The sequence below is a fragment of the Homo sapiens genome, chromosome 2 (genome assembly GCF_000001405.40).
Source record: "Homo sapiens chromosome 2, GRCh38.p14 Primary Assembly".
NCBI classification, from domain to species: domain Eukaryota; kingdom Metazoa; phylum Chordata; class Mammalia; order Primates; family Hominidae; genus Homo; species Homo sapiens.
The window spans coordinates 86902147-86914347 of record NC_000002.12 but is presented as its reverse complement, the minus strand read 5'-3'; the positions used below and the strand labels follow the sequence as shown (position 1 = coordinate 86914347).

The following is a 12201-nucleotide window of genomic DNA, read 5'->3' as shown; positions in this document are numbered from 1 at the left end:
GCCGCCGCCGCCGCCCGGCCAGGCCGAGGCCGCCGCCGCCGCCGCCGCCGCCGCCGCCGCCGCCCGGCCGAGGCCAAGGCCGAGGCCGAGGCCGCCGCCGCCGCCGCCGCCCGGCCAGGCCGAGGCCGCCGCCGCCGCCCGGCCAGGCCGAGGCCGCCGCCGCCGTCCGGCCAGGCCGAGGCCGAGGCCGCCGCCGCCGCCGCCGCCGCCGCCGCCCGGCCAGGCCGGGGCCGAGGCCGCCGCCGCCGCCGCCGCCGCCGCCGCCCGGCCAGGCCGGGGCCGAGGCCGAGGCCGCCGCCGCCGCCGCCGCCGCCGCCGCCGCCGCCGCCCGGCCAGGCCGAGGCCGAGGCCGCCGCCGCCGCCCGGCCAGGTCGAGGCCACCGCCCCGCCAGGTCGAGGCCGTCGGTCTCTTCGAGATCCACTCACCTTTCCAGGCGACGGGGCGGAGCCCTGCACCGAGGCGAGGTACCGCTCCCCGTAGGCCTTGCTGCGCCTCATCGCACCGCCAACCTGGCTCCCGAGACGCGTGAAACCAGCGCTCAGCCCCGCAGCAGTCGCCAATTCCAACAGGAAAGCGCCTGAAAGCCACTGACGTAGCCGGCGGAGGACCACTGTGACGCACTTGTGTACTGCGTCAGCACTGTGTATCCTTGGCGACGTCGGCGCTCCAGCTGCACTCGGCCGGGCTCTTGGCAGCACCCTGTGCTCTGAGGGTGTCTTGCCCGCCGGGCGCCGTGGCTCACGCCTGTAATCCCAACACTTTGGGAGGCGGAGGCGGGCGGATCACCTGAGGTCATGAGTTGGAGACCAGCCTGGCCAACATGGTGAAACCCTGTCTCTACCAAAACTACAAAAATTAGCCGGGCATGGTGGCGGGCGCCTGTAATCCCAGCTATTCAGGAGGCTGAGACAGGAGAACTGCTTGAACCTGGGAGGCGGAGATTGCAGTGAGCTCAGATCGTGCCACTGCACTCCATCCCGGGCAACAAGAGCGATACTCCGTCTCAAAAAAAAAAAAAAAAAAAAAAAGGAATATACCATGGAACCTGATACGATTGAGAACCTTAATTTAAAAAACACTGCATAAAAAAGGTAAATGCTGTCATTTCAGGTGATCAGTTGATAATAAAATGTCTACAAACCCAAACTGAAATCATGCAGTAATACATACATTAATTTTTGGATAATCATTAAAGACCCTAGAAAATGTAACAGATCCTACTCTTCAAAATAATTGCTATTCAGTATTAAAATAAATAAAGTGAAAGGTGTTGGAAAGATAGAGGAATTGATAGGAATACCACAGAAGTGGAAGAATAGTATGAATATCCATAAATTAATTTATATTAGCAAGAAATAATAATGCTTACATCATCAGATCCAGTCTCAGAAGGCCTTGCTTTTTTGGGTGCAATGACAGGGGAAAGTGATCCTTCAAAGTCAAACTGAAAAGTAACCCCAAAAGAAAAGATAAAAATCATAAATGCATTCCTGTCAACTGATCAACTTAAAGGATTCGGAAATCAGTTCTGCCAATTATGAAAACTGAGAAAAGCCATCAAAACTCATTTTTTGATCTGGAAAGTCATTATTTAAATATCTTTCTTCCAGGTTACTGTAAAGATGAAATGAAATCATATTAATATATGCAAACATCTAGAACAGTGCCTGGGCTCCTAAGGACTGATTTTAATGGTAGTTTCCTTCCCTCTCCTACTTCTGTAACGACATAGATTACATCACATCTTTGGTAGAAAAAGAAACTTTAGGCATATCCACAATATACCAAGTCTCAAAGGATCAACCCAATATCAGTCAAATGTTAGAACTAAGCAAACATTTATTTACAGTCCACCTACAGTAAACTATCTAACAATTCTATGGCAGAGACAAGTAGCTACTCTGGAAAATCTTTTTTCTCCTCTTTCTACTGAACCCACAGCCAGACTACATACATACGTCTGCCTCCTTTGAAGTTAGGTGTGACCCTTTGACAGAGTTAATTATAAATGGAAGTCACTGTCATCACTTCCAGGACCAGTCCAGTCCTACCCCTGCTCCTCCAGGCTCTTTGCCCCTTCCACCTGACTGGAATGCAGTCAACCAACGGCAAGCTTTGAACCGAAGACAAAAGATCCTCCATCAACCTGGGTTCCTGAATAACTGTGTGGCCTGTTTATCTGCTAAGCCCTGTTATGTAAACAAGACAGACATTTTTATTGTGTTTGAGCCATTGTATCTTTTGAGGCCTTTCTATTACAATAGTGAGCCTATCTTTTAACTAGTACAACTACATCAAAGCAGTTTTCTGCAAGTTGCTCTTCTTCAATTTCCCCTGGCATAATCTTTGCTGCCCCAGCTACTTCACATGGACATTGACCATCAACTAATAAACTGTAACTCTATAAATGGCAATGGCTATTTTCCTATGCTGAAAAACTTACATATTTATCAACTCACTCACCTAAACAGAGTTGATTTCTATATAAAAACTAAACATAGGTAGCAATAAAGTGATTTTTAAAACCGAATGTTATTGAGAGAGAAGATTTGCTTGTGAAGCATTCAAATAAAAAACAGCCCAACTCATATATATTATAAAAAACCTGGTAGTAACAGTGAAATCAAAGCAACAAATATAACAGTAACTATCTAACCTAAAACTTCAACCAAAATGTAACACACACAAAGTCCCACAGTCAAAAAGAATGTCCCTGCTATAATTATCAGATTCATAAGGCCTGGAGTTATGAGAAAGTAGAAACTGCCTGATAAGGATGGCTCTTTGTGCCATACATGGATCTGTTTAATCTTCACTCTTTCAATGTGTCTCAGGTTAGCCAACCCTGTTATATGCTCCTATGGACCCTTACCCTTCATCTATCATAACACATGTATCAAATATTATTTATTTGTTTCCCTCAAGACAGTCAATTCCAGAGGAACAATCTGTTTTGTCTGGGGTATATGTGAGAAACCTGGCATCATGCCTGGCCCACAGCAGGGATTCAATATTTATCTAATGAAAAAAAGAGCAGCCCAAAAGCCACAAAAAGTTAACCCCAAATGCAACTGTTCCTACAATGTACAGTCCAGTGCACTCATGTAACACATCAGCAAATTAAAGAAAGCACAAAGAAATGCCAAAAATTGTGTAACGAGTCATTGGCAGAAATTCTGTACTCCACCACATTATATATGTGAAAACAAAAAGAATAAATCTGAACAAAGCAAAATGAAAACCATTTGCCAATGAGGACCATTTCATCCTAAGCTTTGACTATGAGGACAAAAGATAGCAAGGGTTTAACCACGCAGTCCTATAAATAAATGGCAAAGCAACTTGGCCTCAAGAATTGATTTCCTTATTCCTTCCTTTATAATTATCATGCAATAAGTAAGTCAAAGAGCCATGTCCTTCTTTGCAAAGGAAAAAATGGGTAGGTGCTCAGTCCTCCCCAAAACATGGAAACGCGAGGGGGCATAGGTTCTCTGCCAGAGACTAGGACACAACAATCTGTACTCATCAACAAGTTCCAAGGACAATGATACACAAAACTACAGAAAGCTGACATGCTTTTTCATAATGTAGAAATCCAGTTTCTATGAGGCTTAATCTTTTCACATGTAATAAAGAACAGAAAAATTGGGGATAATGTCACTTGGATACAATTGTTTAAAATAAGAAAAGAAGGTAATCCTAGCACTTTGGGAGGCCAAGGTGGGAGGATCACTTGAGCTCAGGAGTTTGAAACCAGCATAGCCCACGTGGCAAAACCCTGTCTCTACTAAAAATACAGAAATTAGCCAGGCGTGGAGGTGCATGCCTGTAATCCCAGCTACTCAGGAGGCTGAGGCACAAGAATCGCTTCAACTTAGGAGGCAGAGGCTGTAGTGAGCCAGGATAGCGCCACTGCATTCCACCCTAGACGACAGAGTGAAACCCCGTCTTAAAAAAGGAAAGAAAAGAAAAGAAAATTGTCCCTATTTTCCCATAAGATTTTTCTAAAGGAAATTGCAGACAGCAATTCCTTCATGTGCTGAAATAGACACAAACTCTTAAAAACAGTACCTCACTCAGATGGAAAACGGCATTCACTCAACAAATGTTCACTGAGTATCCTTCTATGCCAGGCAATACCACAGGTCCTGGAGAGAGAGAGTAGTAAACAAAACTAAGCAAAAATCTTTGCCTTCCTAGAATTTACATTCCAGTTGGGGGAGGAGGGATACAAAACAAAATAAGTAAAACATATAGTATATTATATTTAATTAAGTGAGAAGAAAGAAAAACAGGTAAATGGCACTAAAGGTATGGAGGCAGGTGTAATTCTATAGAGAGAGACAGGACAGGCAGCACTGAGGTGACATCTGAATAAAGACCTAAGCACGTCTTGTCGGAGGGAAAGCATTCTCCATAGAGGTAATGGCAAGTGCAAACACTCAGAGGCAGAAACATGCTGGCAGTGCTCAGGGAACAGAGCTGAGGCCAATGTGGCCGGGATGATGTGTGCAAAGCATTAAGAAATAAGACCAGGAAGGTGAGCAAGGGCTAGGTCACATGGCATCTTATAGGCCTATGGCCTTTACTCTGAGTGACATGGGAAGTCACTGGGGGATTCTACGCAGAGGCGTGACGAACGCAACCTGACGTTATCAAACAGGATTACTTTGGCCACTGGTCTGAGAAGAGACTGGAACATAGACAAAGGACATGAAATACGAATCAAAAAATAAGAACTATAAATAACTGATGAAATTTTGAAAAAACCATTCCCATTTACTTATAGAGAAATAAGATAAAATTTCTCAGGAAGCTGGCAAAGGTTCACCACACCACAAATAAACACTGTGGTGAAATGGGCGCTTTTAAATGATGCTAGTAAGAATGTCACCTGGGAACCCCTTTCCAAACATTACTTGACCTCACAGTTTCTCTTTTAAGATTCAATTCTTGGGAAGTAACTAGAGATGTGGTTAAAGAGTCGTGAAAAAGGATGTTTATAAATTCCAATAACGAAAACAACAGATTCACAAGGTACAATTATTAGCTATTGGTTAATTATGATAAAACTACACTATGAAGAAATGATGGAGATATTTTAGAAAAAATTTTTAATGATAACGGGAAATTTTCATTGGTATTTTTATATAGAAGGTAACATCAAAAATATTTAGAGTGGTTATCTCTGAGTAGTATAATTATTTTCTTAATTCCTCCATTTTCCACATTTTCCTTTCATAATTAAGACAAAAAACAAGTTTTAAAAATGGATTTGCTGGCCAGGCACGGTGGCTCACACCTGTAATCCCAGCACTTTGGGAGGCTGAGACGGGCAGATCACGAGGTCAGGAGATCGAGACCATCCTGGCTAACATGGTGAAACCCCATCTCTACTAAAAATACAAAAAATTAGCCGGGCGTGGTGGCGGGCACCTGTAGTCCCGGCTACTCGGGAGGCTGAGGCAGGAAAATGGCATGAACCCAGGAGGCAGAGCCTGTAGTGAGCTGAGATTGTGCCATTGCACTCCAGCCTGGGCGACAGAGCGACATTCTGTCTCAAAAAAAAAAAAAAAAAAAAGGATTTGGTGTGCAAGGCTAAAACATATAGAATGGTACAGCTGAGCTACCTGGAAAAGGGGTAATTATAGTCTAGAGTGATTTTTTTTCAGAGTGACCCAGGCAAAGTTGTCCTGGGAGTGATCTCCAAAGCTAGAAGGAGATCACCAATACTGAAGACACCACTCTGCTGATTTTGTAAATAATCTAATAAGGGCCTGTAAGGATGTTACTGGGGGAAGAGGGTGAGAGGTAAGGCTTTCTACCATTAACAGAGTAGATACTCAGGCTAAAGCACTTTAAATCTCCCTCAAATCAAACCTTCCTCTTCACATCCCAAGCAATATGTGTGTAAAAAGACAATCTTATCTTCAGAAAACAATGTTAAACAAGGAGTCAGAAGATGCAGTCTAGTCATAGTTTTTAAAAAATCACAGATCTGTGATTTCTTTGTGATCCAGTTTCTTCATCAATAAAACCAAGACTATCACTAATCCTAGCATAACTTGCAGTCATTTTACAAAGGTGAAATGAGAAATAGTCATATATGCTTTAACATTCTAAAGCTCAGTAATTATAATCACTAGTAAAATGTTAACATTAAATATTAAGTGAGATTTGATTTACAACATATAGATACAATAAACCTTAATATTATTCTATTATTTTGAATATGGTACGCCTATTATATAGTCTCAATGTTATATTACCAATTATGCAACCATTACATTAACAGAATAACTCATAAAGAAAACAATTGTATTTACTTACATTTCTAGTCCATGCTAAGCGGTCTGTGTTAAAACCCATCACGTTCATGAGACAAGTCACAAATAAATTCCACTCTGAGTGATAACTGGGTCCTCCTGGAGCACTGTGGACATTGTACCACTTGACAAGCATCTGAACTGCTATTTCTTTTGGCAGGATAAACTTAATTGTTTGCAAACACGTTTGTACTATTAAAAGCAAAGATTAATTTTAGTATTCTTACTCTGCATGCATTTCTTTTCCCCTTTCAATAACCAAGTTTCTTTAACTTCTACTATGTAAAGGCCAATTATTATGAAAAGAAAACTGTCATTAAAGAGCCAATGAGATGCAAACATTACCTAACCCATCATCTGAAACTAAAACCAACTACTGAATTCAACAGGGCTTGAAAGGGGTCTGAAGACAGCTTTTTTTTTTTTTTTTTTTTGAGAGGGTGTCTCGCTCTGTTGCCCAGGCTGGAGTGCTGTGGCGCAGTCTTGGCACACTGCAACTTCTGCCTCCTGAGTTCAAGAGATTCTCCTGCCTCAGCCACCAAGTAGCCGGGATTACAGGCGTCTGCCACTGCCCCAGGCTAATTTTTGTATTTTTAGTAGAGACCATGTTTCACCATGTTGGCCAGGCTGGTCTCAAACTCCTGACCTCATGATCCACCTGCCTTGGCCTCCCAAAGCACTGGGATTACAGGTGTGAGCCACTGTGCCCGGCCAAGGACAGCTTTTTGATCATTAATTTTGCATCAGAAATAAAGTAACCAAATAGCCCAGTTTGCCAGAGACAGTCCTGATTTACATCCATTGCCTAGCAATTACTAACTGCTCCCCTTCACTCTTAAAGATGTTCTAGCTCGGGTGACAAATTAAAAGTCACTATGGGCCAGGCATGGTGACTCACGCCTGTAATCTAAGCACTTTGCGAGGTCAAGGCGGGTGGATCACCTGAGGTCAGGAGTTCGAAACCAGCCTGACCAACATGGTGAAACCCCATTTCTACTAAAAATACAAAAATTAGTTGGGCATTGTGGCAGGCACCTGTAATCCCAGCTACTCAGGAGGCTGAGGCAGGAGAATCGCCTGAACCCGGGAGGCAGAGGTTGCAGTGAGCCAAGATCACGCCATTGCACTCCAGCCTGGATGACTACAGCAAAACTGTCTCAAAAAAAAAAAAGTCACTATGAAAAACATACAACTTCTATGTTTATACATTTATATAAAATACTGCCTACATACTTCAGTAAATATATAATATTCAATATATGCATCCACGAATAGCAATGCTTAGCTAGCATTACATGATGTTCTAAATGACTTAACATGCCTATTAACCAAAGCTTTATAACTTTATTTCTGATGTCGTTCAGTTTCTAAAATGTTTCACATGCTCTCTGCCTTAAAAGGGTTAAGAGTTGATACCACATAATTTACACCATTCTTTTTTTGGTAAGTGGAAACAGGGTCTTCCTCTGTCCCCAGGCTGGAGTGCAGTGGTGCAATTATAGCTCACTGTCACCTCCAGCTCCTGGGCTCAAGTGGTCCACCAGCTCAAGCTTCCCAAGTAGCAAGGACTACAGATGCATGCCAGCATGCCTGGCTGATTTTATTTTTCTTTCTGTAGAGACCGAGTCTCACTATGTTGTCCAAGCTGGTCTCAAACTCCTGGCCTCAAGCAATCCCCTCACCTCAGCCTTCCAAAGGGAGGGGATTACAAGCACGAGCCCACCACACCTGGCCTTATACCATTCTCAGTGGCTCCACATCAATTATAGCACTACACTGTCATACAATGATCCCCTCAGAGTGGCCAGGGCTACCACTGTGAAGAGACCCAAATCTGCTTTTAGTAGTAAATAATCCCAAACTGCAATGTTTGTGTACTCACATATCCTCTCTTCCAGGATTCTTTTTTCCCTTTCCACTGTCATGCCACTGGGCCCACCCTCATCAGCATATCCTCTATCCCGTCAGTTTGCAATATGCAAACTCACACAGCACAGGTTGGAAGCAAATAATATTAAAATACCATATAACCAAGTATGTCATAGCTGAATCCAAAATAAGTGTAAACCCAATGCTGCATGAGTGTGTGAGAACCCTTTGCAGGTAAAGTACATAAACTTATGTGCATAAACTATGGGGCTTCTATTTGGCTATAAAGGGGTAAGATTTTTTGTTTTTATTTATTTAATTTCTTCCATTATTATTTGTTTTTATATATTTTGCTTAGGCTTATCATACTTCTAGGTACCTGGCCTTGTGATTACGAAATACCTTTTAGAAGGCAAGGAATCTCTATAGCAACTTGGAATACCATTTACCAGCAGTGAAAATTCCTAAAATGAAAAAGTTATTCTTGTCTACAATCTGCCAATGTCTTGCTTTGGCAGTTAGATTGGAAACCAAGATATGTCATGAACTTCCTTATATCATACAGGCATTCTTTTCTTAACCTACGTTTGTTGGCAAATCCCTTCAATTCTAACATTTTGTTTACTATGCTATGTTCAGAAATATTCTCCTCTAGCATTTTTGAAATTGCATCTCAGGAATAATTCAAGCAGAATCCAATATTTATTAAGATAATTCTGATTGTATTTTGACAATAATATTAAGTTTTATTCAATTAAGGCAATTAGGTTACTTTCACAATTTATCTGAAAATTGAGATATTCATTTTAAAATTAAAAACATCATTAATACATTACAGAAAAAAACATTAAATATGCCAAGAATTATCTTAGTCGCTTAGGCTTCCAGTTTCCCAGATGTTCTTGCAAGAGGCATGTCCATATATATACATATACATATATATATATACATATACATATATATATATACATATATATATACATATACATATATATATATACATATATATATATATATATATATTTTTTTTTTTTTTGAGACTGAGTCTCACTCTATCACCTAGGCTGGAGCGCAGTGGCACGATCTCGGCTCACTGCAACCTCCGCATTCTGGGTTCAAGCGATTCTCTTGCCTCAGACTCCCAAGTAGCTGAGATTACAGAAGTGCACCACCACACCCCGCTGATTTTTGTATTTTTAGTAGAGAAAGGGTTTCACCACGTTGGCCGGGCTGGTCTCGAACTACCGACCTCAAGCGATCCACCTGCCTCAGTCTCACAAAATGTTGGGATTACAGGAGTGAGCCACCATGCCCAGCAGGCATGTCCATATATTATTATACTGCACAATATTCCCCAACAGAAGAACCTCAGAGAACAGAAATAGCACATCCTTCACCTGTACTCCAGCCTTAGAGCACACATAGAGTGGACATCACAAAGCACTCCCTAGCTCTTTAAGGCTCCTCTACAAAGCTAAGAACTTGATCCAGTGGCTTCAAAAATGGCAAAATAATGTTTAAAACCCCAATTATTAATGTAAATCACAATTACTTCATGTCTTATAAATGAAACTTCTCAATCGTACCTAACTCAGAGGTGGCAATTTCAGGAACAGTGATCCTAACCATGGAGCCATTACTCAGTTCCTAGATGGAAACAAATGAGAAAGTAAATAAAATCTGTGCATTCTAAGTCTTTGAATGTCTTAAAAATAGCTGGTACAAGACTTTGCCCATCAAAGCAATAAAATAAATGAAAAACAATTTTCAAACAGAAATGAACACTTCCAAATTTCAGAAACTTTAAATGTAATTATTTGCAAAATGTTTTCCAAAATGCTTGTTTTAATAAAAAGTGTCTAATCTTTATACAGTGAGTCACCATCATCAAAAGGACATTTACTTTTAATGAGACGACAAAAAATCACATCAATTTACAATTCAACTGACTCAACAAGCTTTTGTTTTCACTAAGTTTTTAATAATACAGAAACTGTAGAAAACAAGCAGAATTACTGTATAGTAAAAAGTAAAATAGTGCCAAAAAATGACACAATAGATTTTTTTAAATCATGAGAAATGTTTGTTGTCATTTTTCAGACAAAATTCTGTATTCTGTCAAATTTGAAATGCCAGCCCACTTCTTGGAAAGCTACCAAATGTTTATACTTACTAGGGTGACTCTGTTATGGACAGGATCTCTGATAGAATCAATGTAAGTTCCAAGCTGTTGGAAAGTACAATCCTCATTATAGAGAGAATCATGAAGTTTTGAAGAATCCCTCAGTTCTGGAACTGGGGACAACAGGAGAACCTGTAAAAAGTCGTAAATACAACACAAATGAATTGTTTTCTGAGAAATTAAGGACAAGGAAATTTAACTATTTCTTTTTTGCATATGGTCTAACAAACAATAATATGTAATGATTCAAAAACATTCTGCTCCAAGCCAAGCATGGTGGTGCACACCTGTATAGTCCCAGCTACTCAGAAGACTGAGACAGGAGAATCACTTAAGCCTAGGAATTTGAGGCTGTAGTGAGCCTGTGAATAGTCTCTGCCCTCCAGCCTGGATGACACGGCAAGACCCAGGCTGTTTAAAACATTTTGTTCCAGATACAATGAAGTACCAGCAAACCAAGGTCCTCACAGGAAACAGCTAGAAAAGGTAGGTAAAAGGAAAACATCTGATTGGTGGCTGTGGAAAAGCTGTGGAAGCAACCTGGACTTGAGGGACCAAGATCTAGGAGAGAAGGCAACTGCAGGGAAAGGGGCCAACGTTCTTGGAGAACCTTGCTTTTTCTGCTCTGGCCATCTGCAAATTTTGGTGGTAAGAGGAACATATGGAAAGGCTGACAATATGCAAGGAAAGTCATAGCTAAGAGGGAGAGAAGCCAGCAGCACTGTTAGCAACCTTACAGGGCTAAAGACTAAACTGTGAGCCGGGGCACGTGGTGGCTCATGCCTATAATCCCAGCACTTTGGGAGGCTGAGGTGGGCGGATCACTTGAGGTCAAGAGTTCAAGACCAGCCTGGCCAACATGGTGAAACCCCATCTCTACTAAAAATACAAAAATTAGCCAGGTGCGGTGGCAGGTGCCTGTAGTCCCAGCTATTTGGGAGGCTGAGGCAGGAGAATCGCTTGAACCCAGGAGGTGGAGGTTGCAGTACGGTGAGATTGCCCCACTGTACTCCAGCCTGGATGACAGGGCAAGACTCCATCTCAAAAAAAAACAAAAAACAAAAAACAAAAGACTAAACTGTGATTTGAGGCAGCTGAGGAACTAAGAGCCCAGGAAGAAAGGACAGTAATGAAAAAGCCAACAAATGAGACCAGGATTTAGTGGTATTTCCCCTATAGGCAATTATTTATTCAAAAATACAGGAACAGCATTTATTTGCTTAACTGCAGATATGCAAACAAAAAATTTAAATGGTCTTAGTTACTATCTACATGCAGATGCTTCCAATCTTAATCTCTAGTCATGACCACTGATCCTTTTTTGATTCCTTTAATTCAATTTATATATCTCTAAGTGAATATCTTGTCAACACTGACAATCAAGACTAAGATGTATTTATTCTATTCCAGATTCTACTCTAAAAGTCACCAGGAAAAATTCAGCTCCACTGGTCCTGGCTCTAAGTCTACTAGCAAAATCTTCCAGAGAAGTGGAAAAGCCATCAGCCAATGTGTCAGACTATCATTTCCATGACCTTACACCTATCAAAAAGGCACTATTACCAGGCTTATAGAATTCTAAAAAAGTTGGAAACCATTTTCCATTATAAAAGAAATTCTTCCAAATCACACAAAACACTCTGACACTTCTCCAGTTCCCCCTTTGAATGTTCTGCAAATGTGCTGGTTTGAAGGAAAAAAAATTCAATGTGGCACATGTTTAAAAATATAATGAAGACATAGACATTATCAAATACAACAGATAGCACTAACCTTCCCTTTGAACCGTCCCTAAACATCCACACTCACATGTCCTTTAAATA

General features: G+C 41.4%; 1 protein-coding gene and 1 pseudogene across 2 annotated transcripts in view; both read right to left on the bottom strand.

Moving 5' to 3' along the window:
• RGPD1 (RANBP2 like and GRIP domain containing 1) overlaps positions 1–689 on the bottom strand; it is a 100318-nt gene extending 99629 nt beyond the window's left edge. The window contains exon 1 of the mRNA NM_001410915.1: positions 427–689. Coding sequence (NP_001397844.1) covers positions 427–498 — 72 coding nt within the window. The 5' untranslated portion in view covers positions 499–689. The remainder of the gene's footprint in view (positions 1–426) is intronic.
• Positions 690–1369: 680 nt separating this feature from the next.
• ANAPC1P1 (ANAPC1 pseudogene 1) overlaps positions 1370–12201 on the bottom strand; it is a 51192-nt pseudogene continuing 40360 nt past the window's right edge. Inside the window, exons 17-20 of the transcript NR_037931.2 lie at positions 10370–10510; positions 9783–9843; positions 6332–6519; positions 1370–1445 (exon numbers count right to left, since the gene is read on the bottom strand). The product of NR_037931.2 is annotated as an ANAPC1 pseudogene 1 (transcript). The remainder of the gene's footprint in view (positions 1446–6331; positions 6520–9782; positions 9844–10369; positions 10511–12201) is intronic.